General features: G+C 36.4%; 1 protein-coding gene and 1 long non-coding RNA gene across 21 annotated transcripts in view, besides 1 other annotated feature; one reads left to right on the top strand and one right to left on the bottom strand.

Moving 5' to 3' along the window:
• The window catches only part of OPA1 (OPA1 mitochondrial dynamin like GTPase), a 104,604-nt gene that overhangs the window by 16,208 nt on the left and 71,105 nt on the right, over window positions 1-17,291 (bottom strand). For 11 of the 19 annotated variants that reach the window (NM_001354664.2, NM_001354663.2, NM_130837.3 and 8 more), the window contains 3 exons: window positions 16,608-16,724; window positions 15,215-15,308; window positions 14,324-14,434 (listed from right to left, as the gene is read on the bottom strand). In NM_001354664.2, the coding sequence (NP_001341593.1) occupies window positions 14,324-14,434; window positions 15,215-15,308; window positions 16,608-16,724 (322 nt within the window). Of the gene's footprint in view, window positions 1-3,592; window positions 3,778-14,323; window positions 14,435-15,214; window positions 15,309-16,607; window positions 16,725-17,291 lie in introns of those variants that run through there. The other 8 variants (XM_047448212.1, XM_047448206.1, XM_047448208.1 and 5 more) reach the window with 1 other exon arrangement.
• LOC102724808 (uncharacterized) overlaps window positions 1-17,291 on the top strand; it is a 35,845-nt gene that overhangs the window by 1,496 nt on the left and 17,058 nt on the right. The window contains exons 2-5 of one of the 2 annotated variants that reach the window (XR_924836.3): window positions 3,621-3,750; window positions 10,710-10,796; window positions 12,560-12,684; window positions 13,941-13,972. This is a non-coding gene — a long non-coding RNA (uncharacterized LOC102724808). Of the gene's footprint in view, window positions 1-3,620; window positions 3,751-10,709; window positions 10,797-12,559; window positions 12,685-13,940; window positions 13,973-17,291 lie in introns of those variants that run through there. The other variant, XR_924835.3, reaches the window with a different exon arrangement.
• Window positions 1,078-1,278: a silencer, noted in NCBI's record as "peak4976 fragment used in MPRA reporter construct". NCBI's record gives its function as "represses an SCP1 promoter by STARR-seq MPRAs in K562 erythroleukemia cells {active_cell/tissue: K562}" and the evidence as "EXISTENCE:reporter gene assay evidence [ECO:0000049][PMID:32103011]".

Here is a 17,291-nt window from a genome sequence, read left to right as displayed (position 1 = left end):
CTATTGTTAAAAATGCAATAACTGTGAAGTGCAATAAAGTGACATGCAATACAATGAGGTCTGCCTGTACGTAGAACCCTTGAGCATGCACTTTGAGGGGCACCAATTTTATCTGAAAGTTTACTTTATTTCACTTGCCTGGATTTTCCTTTTCTTTCAACCCAAATTTTTCACTTAAGTAGTTTTATCTTTTGCGTAGGATATATGTAAGCTGCCTCAAATTCCTTTTGGAATATGCCAGGGAATTAATAAACAAACTAACAAGCTAGTCCACAGAAGATATATTATTAGCCAGCTGATTCACATAATACACCACAATATTCTAAAAGTGGTCATTTTATACTGGTAATAGTTTTTAAATCAGTAATTTAAGAATATTCTGCAGGGCCATAGAGGGACAATATTTGTTACATAAAACCTTGCATAAATAATTTCTGCATGGGAGAAAAAGTAAATTATTTTTATTTCTGCTGAATTCTTAGAAAACCCAATGATATCAATATCTATTCCTACAATACTTATTTTCAGCAACAGAAGTAAAAGCATAAATGTTTATGGGATTTATGATCATCTTTTTAAATGTAAAAAATGAATAGATTTTACCATAAGATTACAATGATTTACTCTGAAATATTTTACTTTTGTATCCAATACATAAGATGCTCCACACTTAAATTATCACAAAAAACTTAAAAAGTTATTTTATATGTTAACTCATTAATGATACATGGCTTTGTTTTCTCAAAAAAGAGTTACATTATTTCAAAATGAATACATTCATTTTACTCCCTGACAAAAATCTAAATATCGATAATACATTTTAAAAAATATGATTTAGGCAATTAATTGGGAAGATTAAAAAAGATCAGTAAAATATTCTTAGTCAATTAAATGCTTTAAAAATTCATCTTTTCTTCTTTTTCTCTTATTCCTAAAATTGTATTTTTCCCTGATTTAGTTAGGAGGAAAGCAGAAATGTTCTAAGAAAAGGAAAACCACCCAGGCAGCTCTTAAAGAGGTAGGCATCATTTATCACCTGCAAAGACAGATTTATAAGAAGGCCCCTTCTGTTCCTTTAAGACTGCAAAACAGATGGGAAGTGAATGGACAGTCAATGGGACAAGAAAACACATGGGAGGTGCTGCTGTATGCATGTTCCCAGCATAAGAAAGAGGTCAAGATTGTAACTGCATGACTGGGTCCTGGAAAGGGTCTTTCTTCAAGCTGTTACAAAGACAAACGCTGTTCCTCATCCTGCTGTCAAACTGTTATAAATATTGGTTTGTCAAAAGACCTTCAGTGCTGAAGCTTTAAAAAGGAGGCATAACAGACGAATGAATCATGAGAATGATTCTTAAACAGTCAGTTCATCACTGTAATTTTAAAAGTAAAAGATCAGAGAATGTAATTCTGATTTATACACCAAACTAAAAATTCATAAAAAAAGAAATTAAAAATCGTAGGTTTTAATAAAATTATGAATTAGGTGAGATGAAAGCAAAAATGAAATACAAGTTCCATTTCTTAAAAAAATGGTGTATTAGGATAAAGCATTATGAAACTTAGCACAAGAAGAACAGGTATTCATGTTAGGCTGATTTCAGAAGTTCTCGGTTTATCACCGAGTTTATCTTACAGAGGTGCTGTTTATCACAACTGAGTGAGAATCAGGCTCAGAAAAATAAAAATAACTTCTAAACTAATTTCATTTATTCCATTAAACTGGAAAATCACCTTTAAGTCACAATTTCTTTTCTATTGAACAATCACAAAATTCAACTGGCACTGAGCATACATAGATTTATAAACCTAGAATTATCTTTTTGGAGGAATGAAAACATTATGTACCTCTTTAGGAGGCAAATTCATTGTTATAGATCCTTAACACGTATCAAAAATCACATAAAAAAGAAGCCAAATTATATGAACTTGGTTGTCTATGGTTACCACAAACACAAACCCAGAGACTAATGATGAACAGAATACCTAAACAATTCTTTAAAAAAAGTCCTATCTGTAACACATATGATTAGCCCCAGCTTTGCCATAAATATTTACATAATGGGCTTAACCATTTATGTCAATGAACGTTAATTTCTCTATCTGAACAATGGGCATAATGCCTCATATGACTTTACAGACACACATGGACAAGCAGAAGTTTTGTAAACTGTAAAATAAAGCACTACATAAATGTGAGGGCCAGATCCTAGAGTTTCAAGTAGGATATGGACTCCAAAGTACCAAATGATGCAGTTACATGGAAGCATTTTCTTCCCTCCCTCCCTCCCTCTCTTTCTCTTTCTTTATGAGTTTTGAAACCTTTTTTTTCCCCGTTATTTCTTCTTAAAAACAAAAACAAAAACAAAAGCGGGCTCTATGTGCAGAATGTGCAGGCTACACAGGTATACGTGTGCCATGGTGGTCTGCTGCACTTAAGTCCTCTAAGTTCCCTCCCCTCGCCCCCCACGCCCCAACAGGCCCTGGCGTATGCTGTTCCCCTCCCTGTGTCCATGTGTTCTCAATGTTCAATTCCCACTTATGAGTGAGAACATGTGGTGTTTGGTTTTCTGTACATGGAAGTATTTTCTAGTCCTGAATGCATGCCTGGGCCATTATTTTCTCTTAAATTTTCAGTAATCTTGGGAAAAAAAAACAACTTCAGTAGAAGTGAGACTCAAAGAGCTAACCTTTGTAATAGAGATTAGAGTTCACAGTAGCTACTAGACTGCATGGAAGGTTCAACCCATTAGTTTTAAGATGAGAATGACTTGAGCATCTTTGAAGAGAGAAAGGGGATATAATGAATACACAAGCACACAAAGGAAGGCCAGGTCCCAAATACAGGTATGGGATTACTGTTCAAAGGAGAGTGATTTTCAGTACATGCTATGCTACAATATGGCTTCCAGAATACTTGAACTATATAAAGTAATGGGTACCATAGGTTTCATTTTTACTAATGCTGCTTATTCCTCTTAATGAACATTTCTGAAATAAGTTTATATGAAGAAAATGAAAAAAAATCTAGCCCACTGAGCGATGGGAAATTAAAACTAGGGGCAATGACAACGAGCTGTGGGTATAAGAAGCCAACCTGAGACCTCTTCACGAAAAATGTGTTCCAGAAATTATGTCCCTAGGACCACATTCAAAAGTGTCTTAAACTACAGTGCAATCTCTGGGTGGTGGCAATTATTTTTTAAAATTTTGCCATCTATAGTTTCTAATTTCCCACAATGCATATACACTAGCTCTCTCATAATGAAAAGGATGTTAAAAAAAAAAACCCTCAAATTCCAGTAGTGTACTTTGGTAAAGATCAGTCTAAAGACAGATCTGTATATATGACACAGTCTATGAAGCAGTGCCAACAAAAGGAGAGACTAAAGATAAAATGGCTTTAATTCTTGGCCCAGAAAAGAGATCTAACTGAAGTTAATCAAAACAGCAAACTTCTACTGCTCAGAATATTGAAACTAGAGAATAGATGAATGAGCTGTTCTAAGAGAAATTGAAATGAAATATTCTGTACACAGGAGGTAACAATGAAACAATCTTAAATGGGTGATACAAGTGTGGAAACTGTGAGTTCAACAAAGATTTTGATTTATTTTCAGATGATAGATCCATGATGCATAGTTACAGGATATGAGAATTCACTGTGAATCCCCCAACCACTGAGGATGGTATCACGATGAGCAACGACCATGCAGTCCCATGAAATGTCCCTCAGCATCACAACCAGCAGTAGGTTACTTGGGAAAATATCTGTTACTTTTAAGATAGAGCACATCGTGTATTAGCTTCGTCATTTCCATGAATAGGATAATTAAGACTACAACATTTCAAAGTAATTCTGAATCGTGCTCACTGGGGGAGAAGGGCTGTGGGAGACACAGTTTAGAAATGTACAAAATAGTGCAAAATTAAAATTCTCTTCACATTTAACTAATTTCTCCAACTACCTGGAGAACTGTACTTAACAGAGGTTACCAGTTTCATGTGCATCAATCCACCAATCCCTTAAGATTTCCTATCTCGTTTAATTTTATTTTTTATATACTGTTGCAGAGTCCAATGAATTGTTTTGTGATTAGGTTTTCAATTACTACATTCTACTTTTTCTATCAAATATGCAAAAACATAATTTAAAAATAAAAACGCTTAAGATAAAGTTTATTCCCAACTTTAAAGGTATTAGATCACTTGAGCCCAGGAGTTCAAGGCTGCAGTGAGCCATGATCACACCACTGCACTCTAGCCTGGGCAGCAAGTGACACTCTTTCTAAAGAAAAAAAAAAAAAAAAAAGAAGTAAAAGAAAAAAAAATTGTGCACTGGCCTTTTGAATACATTAAGAGTATTTTCACAATAGTATATAAGTAAAACCTACATTAAAATGATAAATGGCAAATTCAATCCATACATTATTGTAGAGAACATTCTTGTCTTTATTCTTAATCAGTTAAAACTTGAGTTTAAAGCAAAAGAATATACTTGCTAGTAAAGTGTTGATTACCAGCAGCATGTATAATATTATAGAAAAGAAAATGTTCTTTTACGCTTGTACTAATTTATTGATATTCTTCAACAGTGACTTTTTTTTTTTTTTTTTTTTTTTTTGAGACGAGTCTTGCTCTGTCACCCAGGCTGGAGTGCAGTGGCGCGATCTCGGCTCACCGCAAGCTCCGCCTCCCAGGTTCACGCCATTCTCCTGCCTCAGCCTCCCCAGCAGCTGGGACTACAGGCGCCCGCCACCACGCCTGGCTAAATTTTTTGTATTTTTAGTAGAGACGGGGTTTCACTGTGTTAGCCAGGATGGTCTGGATCTCCTGACCTTGTGATCCGCCCACCTTGGCCTCCTAAAGTGCTGGGATTACAGGCGTGAGCCACCACACCCGGCCACAACGGTGACTTTTAAAGACAGACTTAGGCCATGAAAAATGTACTTCATTCTAAAAGACCCATTTTGAGTCTCGATTTTCTCATCAATAACCTGGAAACCACACCACTCAGGCGTTGTCATGTGGAATTCTGTGTGTAAATAACCACTTCTCTAACAGAGAGGACTTTCCTTGAGGATTACTTTATCTTTGTATCAACTCAGGTTTTTTTGTTTGTTTGTTCTGTTCCAACACAAAGCAGAGCCTACTTCATCTATACAGACTCAAGGTAAAAATAATTCTTCACTATCTTTCCTAGTTGCTTTAATGTGTTAACTGCCTTACTATAAAAAAAATTATTTTACAAAGCCCAGATTTTTAAAATTGCCAGATTTACCATGAAAAGATGCCTTAAAGAGTTCAAGTATTGCTACCATAAAACAAATACATTATTTATTCTGTAGTGAAGAGGAAAAAAAAATCAATTTTTCTGTCTCTCAAACATACACATTTCTACATCATATAATCATTCCAAAAAGTACTTGAATGTATTCCAATGAACTTAAAAATTCCTAATAAACATAAAAAGTTATTAAAGTTTCCTGGTGAACTGGGTAGACTGGCATTAGGAAATCATTGGTGATCTATCAATAAGTGGTTTTGATATAGATGAAAGCCAGACTGCACGATATTAGGAAGGGAGTGGGCAGAACAGGAGTGAATGCCACACAGGCAAGCTGCTCTACAAGAGAAATGAGCAGTAACTTTCTGGCAAGACAGAGTAGAAGAAAGTTTCCTTGGGATGAAAAGAGTTAGTTCCCCCCAACTTTTTAAGTCAAGAGAAGGGGGCTAATGAACAGTCTGTATTACAAGATCACAATCGAACATTCAGTAAATGTGTACAGTACAATATGTAACACACGAGGTATGGGGAATTTATGAATGAACCAAATCACTTTGGCAGAAGGGATCGACCGTGATAGACATGAAAATGTTTTTCTTCTTTAAATGGTTATTTTCATTGATTTACAGTTGCCTATAGTGAGAAGCCTCTATTCTGCTCAATTAAACAACACTGGCAGTATCTGAGTAAGGTTTTTAGTCACTGAAGGAAGGTAAATAAGCAGGTGGGATAAAAATACTGGGTTAGGTTGAAGTGATGATGATATAGAAGAGACGCAGTGAGAGAAGTGCATAAAAAGAAAGGGAAAAGGTTGCCTCGAGATGTGTTAAAAGCCAGGAGAGAGGAAATGGTGTTGTGAGCCCAAGAAACAGAGCAACAGTACTGAGATATGAAAGATGCTGCCGGGATGCTTCGAGCTCACACGTTCTCTTCGGGACACCCTGCTCTATTCTTCTTGATTGGGTGTTTTTTTTTTTTTTTTTTTTTTTCTTAAAAAAAAAAAATCTCCTCTGAACCTACATACCTAGAATTCTACAACTTGGTATCACCCTCTCTTCCTTTAAAATTCATTTTCTTTGGTTAAGTCTACAGAAACAAAAAGAACACACCAGTGCAGATGCCTTTAAAGTCCCTTTAAAGTTCATTTTCTTTGGTTAAGTCTACAGAAACAAAAAGAACACACCAGTGCAGATGCAGTTCAAATTGCTCACCAAATTTTCCAAAGTGACGTTGTGTCTCAGACTCTACAAATGAATGTATGTCAATTTTATCCCAATTAATAGCATGAAAAATTGTCTTGCTATGCACTGAAAGAACTCTTTGGAGTGCCAGCTCAGGGGCAGGCGGGTACACGGTAATCGGGGATGGCAAGAATCACCTGTGTAGCTTTGTCAAAATACACATGGCAGAGCCCCACCTCCGCAAACAGTTTTAAACACATCACTTCCCCTTTCTACACTTTTCAGTTCCAAATTCCGAGTACAATAATCTTTCTAGGAAAATTTCCATCTCATACTACTTCACAGACGATATTCTCATCCGTAACAACACTCAAGGGTATGGCAGGTATGGGAGAAGTGTCGGAATGTGAAGTCACTGTAGAAATTAAGTTCCAGGGTACCTTGATGTTTTCTTTTCTAAATGTGAAGAATAAAATCATTCTGCCTACCTCAGGGTTCTATTTAGCTATGTTCTGACTACTTTTTATTCATGTTTCCACATGGCATAGAGATTTCTTATAACTATCCTATAAATTAGAACTATATTTTGGATTCAGTGAAAGAATCTTTTTAGATTTAAGCAGTTATGATACATTTCTAATCCTAGCTTTTAAAATGGCAGTATTAGGTCACCTTGCTGCTGCTCCCTTTTAGTACCATAATTTCAAAAATGCACTCATGCATTTGTTTTCTCTCACTAAATGATATTATGAAGAACAAAGTTTTCATTTAAAACATGATTTGTTACTGAGGTGGCTTACTGAAAAAAGAAACTTTCATCTATAGCCTATACTTCTAAGTTTTAGAATCTCATGCAGACCTAAATAAAAAGGTGGTATCTTTGCTCCTTTCTAATTATCAAGAGAAAGCACAGGATGAAGGATAAGAGGAGACTGGGAAAGTGAAGAAACACAAAGACAAGCCCCAAAAGCATTGTCTACTCCCAAGAGAAACAAACTTTAAGTTTCCAGAAACAATTGCTCGCTGTCTGGGAGATGCTCAGGCATCAAACAATAAAGAACAGTCAACAGAGGCAAGAGGCCGAGCACGCTGCTGCGAGCCCGACTCTCTAATCCCCACAAGCTCCAGTAAAAGGGCCAGCTGTTGCCACCTCGCGTAGGGAGTCAGCAGAGCAAATTAACTGTGAGAGGAAAAAAAGCTGAGGATATTGGAAAATTCTAATTTACCAGCCTCTTTAAGCTATATTGCTTTTAACATTAAGGATATCAAACTATACCATTAAAATAGGCCTGTACAATGGTAGCCCAAGTGAAGGAATTTACCACTGTTTTCACATTTTATTGGTAAATGAGATACAGCTCTGAAGTATTCAGTCTACTAAAGTATATCTTCTCTCACATAAAGAACAAGAAATAGGAATAAATACACTGTAATTTCTAATAAGTTGCACTTCCAATCCAGCTCAACAAAAAGCCTCAAGTTAAAATAACAGCCACCATTATGCTCAATTAAAGATTCCACAGATTTTATTAATATATCTGTTATAGCTGAACTTTAGGATTCTAAGTAGGAACACAACCTCATTGAAAAACTCTAAATATGGGGCAACTTAGACACTACTTACGCATGGTGGAATCTGATAAAGGATATCTAGAGACATGTTTACAATTCATATAAAGAAAATTAACTTCCCTTGGTTTGCTTAGTGGTTTCATGCACACTGTACTGTTCATTTACTCAGATGTTCTATGAAAGTTCTCATACAATTTGAAAGATGCTTATATTATAGGAAGTACCTGTGGTAATAATGATTATCTTCATCATTATCATCATCACTAACATGTATGTCTTTCCGATCAACCCTGTGAAGGACACTGGTAACTATGGAAGCTTCTCAATATAAAGGACAATTTTATGTCATCATATTTTCCAAAGGCTTGAGTTTTTACTCCCTCCCAAATGATTCTGGCACAGTAGTGAAAAGACCCAGGCCCAAATCTCAGCTTCAGCATCTACTACCTACGAGTTCCTAACCCTCCATTTCATCTGTAAAATGAGAAAAATAACTACCTAACTCAAAAGTTGTGAGAATCAAATGAAAATTCACATAAAGCATTTAACCTAATATCTGGCACAAGAAAAGTATTCAAATGTTATTTTACATTCATAAACAGTTTCAAGTTTTTACACAAAATCAAAAGGAATTTATTGTAAAATAAGGAGAAAAGACTCCTTAGGTTTTTGTTTTTCGTTTTTTTTTTTTTTTTGAGATGGAGTCTCGCTCTGTTACCCAGGCTGGAATGCAATGGCACAGTCTTGGCTCACTGCAACCTCTGCCTCCCGGGTTCAGGCGATTCTCCTGTCTCAGCCTCCCGAGTAGCTGGAATTACAGGCGCCTGCCACCATGCCCAGCTAATTTTCGCATTTTTAGTAGAGACGGGGTTTCACCATGTTGGCCAGGCTGATCTCGAACTCCTGACCTCAGGTGATCCACCCGCCTCGGCCTCCCATAGTGCTGGGATTACAGGCGTGAGGCACCGCATCCGGCCAAGACTCCTTAGGTCTTAGAGCAATCTAAATGATCAATAATGCCCCTTGAATGTGTCAGTATCAATAAGTCTCTGATTACACGCACAGAGAATAAAAAGTGTAACAGGCTTTAGTGAACAAGGGTTCCAGGCAATTTCTATGAAGGCCCAATACCTCACAATAACCTAGTAACAGCAGATACAATGTTCACAGAAAAAACAATAAAATAATTCCACACTGTACTGGTGAAACTTGGCTTAGCAGCAAACACTACTACCAATTGTTATTGATGCCCAGATACTTAGTTTCTGAGGTAGAATGGGGCAAAAAACAAATTGCACTTATGATGACAATCATAAGATAGATTTTATGAATTATAAAATAGATCATAATAGAAAGAACAACTTTGAATTGAACTATAACATACCAATCTTCATCTCTCCAAAGAAAGTATTCTAAAGTTATACTATTTCAATAAACAGATTGGACACATTACTAAAACTTACACTGGGACTCCAAACAGATTTTATCTAAGTTGACACCAAACTTAAAATATCTATTTAAAAAATCCTTTGAAACTGAATTTTCTAGAAAATCAAAAGAATTTCATGAAAGTCCCAGTGGGCATATTTTAACACCAGACAATTCTAAGTATGGGTAGATACTGCAAACAAGAAATTAAGGTAGAAAAATCAGCTGCATATCCTATTAAATTATCCATGAGGTAACTCAGTGTTTCAACGTCTTCAGGGATGATGTTCTCAAAAGTCTCATTTCCTCTAAAGTACTTTCACATGACCCTAATCCATTATTAGTTATAAAAACAAAATTTAACCTTTTTTTAACCTTTTATGCATAAACAATTTCAGACTTACAGAAAAGTTGCAAGACCACTACAAAGATCATATTTCTCCTGAAACATTTGTTGTAATCATGCATTATCATCCCCAAATATTCTACTTTGTATTCGCTATGAATAATGGTATTTTCCAAAATAATCCCAACCTAATAAAAATTTAAAAATTAACACTGATATATTACTACAATGGAACCCTCGGATCCCCTTCAAATATCACTAACTGGCCCATTAATGTCCTTAGAGCAAAAAGATCCAATCTAGGATCATACATTGCATTTAGTTTTAAGTCTCTTCCAACTGGAGCAGCTCTTCACTCTTTCCTTGTCTTTCATGATCTTGATGCATTTGAAGATTACAGGCCAGTTATTTTGCAGACTGTGCTCTAACTTGGGTTTGTCTCATGTATTGTTATGACTGAATTTAAGTTCTACATCTTTGGTAAGAAGTACTTCAGGAGTCTTCTTGCATTTTAGAGTCTTCTTGCATATGGTTTTGATTTGACCATTACTGATAATATTAACTCTGACCACTTGCTTAAAGTGATGATTGCCAGGCTTCATCCACTGTAAAGTTACTCTTTTCCCTCTTTTAATTAGTACATATTTTCTGTGAACATATTTTGCGTGATGACATAAACATCCCTTTTTGCATCATGGTTTTATTCCCTTATTTATATAATTACCAATGTATGGATTCCTATTTCATTCAATGAGTTACAATTTGTTACTGTCATTATTTTGGGGCCCAAATTGTCCCCAGCCTGGCCAGTTGGAGCCTCCTTCAGAGGGTTTCTGTGACCTGCTGACATCTCCTCATCATCTTTCAAGCACTCCCTTCCTTTCTACACCCACAGGCTCATCCTGTCCTTTCCCTGCTCCAGCTATGGAATCTACCATATCTCCAAAGAATCCTGGAAGAGCCTCTCCTGAGACAAAATCATGTGAGCTCCTTTTTCATTTCTTCAATCTTCCTAACTCTAGCTTTATGGTTTCATTTCAATAGTGAACACAGTATATCTTCTCCAGGATGTGAAAGAAAAATGTACTACTACTACTTATGTACTCATCTTAAAGGGCAGTCAGGGCTGGGCATGGTGGCTCATGCCTATAATTCCAGCACTTTGGGAGGCCGAGGCGGGCGGATCATGAGGTCAGGAGATCGAGACCATCCTGGCTAACATGGGGAAACCCCGTCTCTACTAAAAATACAAAAAATAAGCCAGGCATGGTGGCGGGCGCCTGTAGCCCCAGCTACTCGGGAGGCAGAGGTGGGAGAACCACCTTGCAGTGAGCCGAGATCGTGCCACTGCACTCTAGCCTGGGCGACACAGCGAGACTCCATCTCAAAAAAAAAAAAAAAGGTGGGGGGGAAGTCTCCAAGGTAAGGAAATGATTTAAAATCGTACAAGCTTAAAACTGGCAAAAATATGAATGCATCAACATTTTAACACTCTATACAATATTCTGTAACAGGCTGAAACTGTAGTAAAAATTTGATTGCCTCCCTTTCTCCAAATCCAATCAACCAACACACTATGTTCTAATTGAACAGGCTATACTAGAAACTTTGATCCTTATAATACATTAATAACTTAAATTTGGAAAGTTTTCTGGCTGAAGTATCCATGACCCTATTCCCAAGTGTCAGACCAAAGATAAACAGTAACGAAAAGGCACTCTCCAGACTCTTTTCCAACTAATGAACAAAGTCATGGCTCATCTCCTTGAGGGTGACTGATGCAGCTGAGTTACTGGCAAAACCCTTGCTTCCAAGGACATTATTTGGTACATTAACACCATTATAATTTTATATGTACAAAAGTAGTAAATCATTTCAAGGGAGTTATATGACTGCTTTCTCAGGAAAACCAGCAGTAGAACATAGAACTTGGCTTGACAGTGTACATATCTGAGTTAGTAATCCACTTCCTTTAAATAATCAAATTGGGAGCGGAGAGTAATGGGGTTGCAAAGCCTCTACTAAAAACATAAGAAAAGATACTTATGATTTTCCAATCACTTAAAAATGTGTTATGCTGGTAAAATTCATTGAATTGTTTCACTGTCTTGATAATTATATCACGAGGGATATAAAAGAAATATATTTGTATACACTGTGACAATGATATACCACTTCCTGTAACGGTACTAATTTAGCATGAAATTATGAACCAGGGACTTGCAAATGTTTGCGGAAGTAATTCTAACAATCCTGAGAAATAACCACTATAATAGTCATTTTACAAATAAAGAAGCTAAGGCTCTGGGAGATTCCCTGCCGAAGATGACACAGCTAGTAGTAAATGGCAATTCAGATTTGAGCACTAATCTTCTACGTTAGCACAAACTTAACTACATTGCCAAGGTGGCATGAGAAAAACCAAAAGTGACAGAAAATGAAAATAAAAGTTAAAATGAGATATGTCTCGAAAGAAGAATATTTAAAGGAAGAAAGAAAAGGAAAGGAGAAAGCAATGCAGAACTTAGATTATTACTAGAGGGAGAGAATGGGGCCGCAAGCGCTGATGGCAAGGGGTGAGCATGCTGCGCAGGCACAGGGTGTAACACAGAAGAGCCCTGCCTGGCTTCTTCAGGATAACCCTATGGATTGTACTGTAATCCTACAACTCAGCTTAGAAGGCACTTTTAAATTTGCAGAACTTCTTTCTAATTTATTAACGATATCTGCTTTTTTTCCTTTTAGATATCAGAAAACTAATAAGACAGGAAATTTAAGTACACGTTGAAAGAAAAAGATACTTTGTTACACGAAGCTGAAGTCAGTGAAACTTGTAACAAGGCAGGCTCAAACAGAGGTACCAACTACAGGTATTTTATTTTTATTTAATAACAATAATGTTTCACTGATTTCCTTGAGTTCTCAAAGATCTAAGTAAATTTTAGTATGCAATCCTATCTTAAAGCTAGGAACCTACAAGAAACAACCAAATATCAACCCCAAACAGTGACAAAGTGATTATTAGTAGGGCCAAGCTAGGGGGGTGGGAAGGGGAAGCCATGGTAGCCTACTGCAGGTGTTAATGCCTGACCTGGGTTACAATGGGTTCACATGGGGCTGTTGGTAGCCTGGTCCAGTACTGAGGAGAGTATCTGTGCAGGAGGGTGGCCTGGTGCAGGCTGGCGAAGCACAGGCAGGGTAAAGAGGGTATCTCCACAAAGGCATGGTCTGGCTTCAGGTGAGGAAGGAATCTGTCTGGGGTCGGGCAGAGGCTAGCGGGTGGGAAGGATGAGATGGAGAGGCACCTGGCACAAAGCGTCAGAGCAGAGCTCAGTAAAAGGGACTCCATGACGAAGAGCAACCTGGCACGGATGTCAGAGCCCAGACAAGGTAAAAGAAGTGTCAATGCTGGGTGCGGCGCCATGTGGTGGCCTGGTGTGTAGTGTTGAGTCCGAGCTGGGGAAAAAGAACATTTCTGCAATGGAAAAGGACATATCTTCATTCAAGTTGGGTTACGTATAGGAGGACTGACCAAAATATGAAAATATATTAAGGATACTAGAAGCCCGTTTTCTATCAGGAAAGCAAGTGACAAATATCGAAAGGGAGAACACTAGAACAAACCTTGTAATGCTGGATTAAAATGGGAAGTATCAGCATCAACTCACAGTTTTTAATAAATAAATATACACATGATTTAGGAATACAGATGTCAGTGTGTGTATATTCACCTGCACACACACAAACATTCACAACACTTAGTTCCTAGCTCTTTCCACTGAGAAACCAGGGAACAGTGATATTCCAATAACAGCATATATAATTTCTAGGTCTCCATTTCTAAACACCATTCTTCAAAAAAAGGAAGCTGGGTCAGGTATTGAGCCTGGAACATCTTGTTATATGGAGGGATAATACTGGGACAACGGGTGAAACTTGAAAGGGGTCTGAGAATTAGATATTGTAATTTATCAATGTTCGGTTGCTATGAGAAAATCTGTTTCTAAGAACTATACATGAACCTACTTGGAAGTGATAGGACTTAAGGTCAGCAACTTACTCTCAAATACTTCAGAGAAGAAAAAAATTCCTTGTAACTTTTTTTTTTTTTTTTTTTTTGAGACAGAATCTCGCCCTGTCGCTCAGGCTGGAGTGCAGTGGCAGGATCTTGGCTCACCGCAAGCTCCGCCTCCCGGGTTCACACCATTCTCCTGCCTCAGCCTCCCAAGTAGCTGGGACTATAGGCACCCACCACCACACCTGGCTAAGTTTTTTGTATTTTTAGTAGAGACGGGGTTTCACTGTGTTAGCCAGGATGGTCTTGATCTTCTGACCTTGTTTTCCACCCATCTTGGCCTCCCAAAGTGCTGGGATTACAAGCGTGAGCCACCGTGCTCAGCCCAGTTCCTTGTAACTTTTCTGTAAGTTTGAGATTAAATGGATCAACAAACAAATGGAAATGGGAAAGGTGGAAAGGTAGTAAGGTAGAGGGCAGTAAGAACTACTCACTGAGGTCTTCCGCCAGTTGAACGCGTTTACCAGTAAGCAATTTAATCTTCTTCTCACCATCTTCAGCAAAATCTTCCAATACCTCTTTAACATTTTTCTCTAATCGCCTAACTGTTTAAAGAAAGTTAAAAAACCTGAGGAGCATCGTTTTTATAAATGAATAAAGATGATAAAATTAACCTATATATATGGAGAGTAAATTTTTTATCATGTTAGAACTATTGCTAATACTTTTCATAGTCATAGAAAATCTCTGTTATACAGTAGTTTTATCAGCATGAAACCTATATAGTCTCAGAGAATGTCATATTCTTAAGCTATACACTTTAATGGAAGTGCAGATTTCCCAAAAAACTAAGTGATACCTAGGAGTCCATTCCCAACAGAGTTTCATGCAATGAAAATAAACTCCTGGTATGTTTTATCACCCATCTTTTCCAATTATGATTTATTTTAAAAGCAAATAATAATTTTTGTCTTTTTTTTTTAAAGAGACAAGGTCTTACTCTGTCACCTAGGCTAGAGTGCAGTAGTATGATCATAGCTCATTGTAGCCTCAAAATCCTAGGGCTCAAGTGATCCTCCCATCTCAGCCTCCCAAGTAGCTAGAACTACAGATGTGTGCCACCATGCCCGGCTAATTTATTTTATTGTTTGTAGAGATAGAGTCTCACAATGTTGCCCAGGCTGGTCTCAAACTACAGGCCTCAAGCGGTTTTCCTGCCTCGGCCTCTCAACATGCTGAGATTACAGGCATGAGCTACCACACCTGGCCAGTTTTTCTAATAAATCTACTTTTGGGAAGTATTTTGGCATCCTTCTATTAAATATGGATATTACCACTATTATTTTTTAATGTCAAAATAAGACTGCAGTCCCTATGTGGCTTACCTTCAGTATTTGTAAGTTGTTGCCTTAAAGTATTTGCGGTGATAGCAAGCATGCGCTGTATACGCCAAAACAAGACCACATCATTGCATTCCAACTGAAATATTAAGTAACTAAGATTACCAGATGCAAAGTTAAAATGAAAACTATCATCGTAAACACATACAACTACTAGAACCAGTAGATATGTCCTAAGCTTAAAAAGTACTCAGATTTACCTAATGCATATACTGTAGATATAAGCTACAGAATCCTTTCTGTACGGAGCCATGAAATTCTGCATAATTTGGCTTATATCTGTCTGACACCTAGATAGCTTTGTTTCAATTCTAATGACAAAGTAAATAAGCTTGAGTAGTAGCAAATTACATTACATTGTATGTAAGTTGAAATTCACAGCATATACCCTCCATTTATATTTAGTTTCAGCTAACCATGTTTATCTTAAATACGTCCTTAGGTTAACCTCTTTTCTTTGAGTCTGTACTCAAGCCATTTTTAAAATTCAGCTGTGTGAAAATAAAGTGATGTATTTAAAAAGAAGCTTATTCTACAGAAGGCAGTTTCTACAGAAGTTTCTTCTTTCTACAGAAGTTTCTATAGAAAGAAGTTCACTCTACAATTAAAATTATGCAAAAAAAACTTGCCACTTTTAATTAGGTGCATTTAAATATAAATTTATGTTCATCTACTGAAAACAAAAGAACAGCATGTTAGAAGTCTCAATTAAATAAGATTGTTGATTAACTGAGCTTTATCAAAAGGATATTTAAAAGCATTTTTGCTTGTAAGAAAATGCTGAAAATATATCAGACTGCTGCCACCTAGGGGTTACTTTAAATTATGAATCATTTTAATACAAGAACTTTATGATTATTTAAAACAAGATTTAGTGATATGAAGAAATAATTATGACACCTGAAAAAAGCATGATAAAAACTGTTTTGCAGGATGATTTCCATTATGCAAATGGATGGTTATGTTACACACACAGATACACACACACTTTCTCTTTCCCTCTCTGTCTCTCTCCCTATGTACAGAAAAAGTTGAAAAGAAATACATAAAAATGTTAACTAAAATTCTTACAGGTCAGGGAATAAGGGACTATTTCCTGTTATTTATTTATTTTTTTTACTATTTATATTCACACTTTTTTTTACTATTTATATTCACATATTCTTATAAGCATTGGGGATAATATGCACGTATCACGAACAAAGTGGCAAATATCTTTGAAAATATAAGAGTTAGATTATTCTTTATAAATTACACATACTTTTTTTCCCCAGATGATCAAAGGACTTAAAATTAATGCTTAAGCTAAAGTTTACTTTTAAGCATATTTTGACAACTGTTGCTTAAAAATACTTCTCTTTGTTTTTGGAAACCTTACCTCAGAATCTACAAAATGCCTTTGGTAGTAATAAAAACCTCTTCGACAAAGGTTACAATGGTTTAGAGCTGTTTTTAAAAAATGTCTTCTATAAACTTGATGCCAAGTATCCTTAATCTAAAATGAGAAAAAAGAAAGCCCAGAGTTACTGTATATTCTTCATGTTGATCAACCACACTGAGAAGTTGTACAAAAATTATATTTACCAAAAAAGTTAATTAAAAGCAAAAGCAAGGTTATTCTTTACATAGTTATTCAAATTTTTTTATTCACTTACTTTTTTTAAGGCAAAGATTAGATTTACTACTACTCTGACCCATTACCAGTTTATGTACTTAAAAATTAGCAATGATTTAAACAAATGCTGTTACTATAATCAAATAATCATCTTGTGGAGTAGACAGGGTAGGTATTACCTTCCCCTAGTTAGAGGTGAGGAAACCAATGCAGAAAGAGGTTGAAAGCCTTATCTAAAAACAGAGTTAGAACTTAAGATGGTCTCAGATCATGTCTAGCAACTCAACATTTCCTTTCTGTTTATAAAATTTTACTGCTACCATACCAATATGATCCCTACCACTTTATTACTAGATACTCTGAGTGTCCAATATTCTTTAATACCCTCTGTCCTTTTTTGAGCAAAACAATAATAATGTTAACTAGAAAAACATCAACCCCTTTTGA

The sequence above is a fragment of the Homo sapiens genome, chromosome 3 (assembly GCF_000001405.40).
Source record: "Homo sapiens chromosome 3, GRCh38.p14 Primary Assembly".
Lineage (NCBI taxonomy): Eukaryota > Metazoa > Chordata > Mammalia > Primates > Hominidae > Homo > Homo sapiens.
The sequence above is the reverse complement of the archived record's forward strand: the minus strand, read 5'-3'. Positions and strand labels throughout refer to the sequence as shown.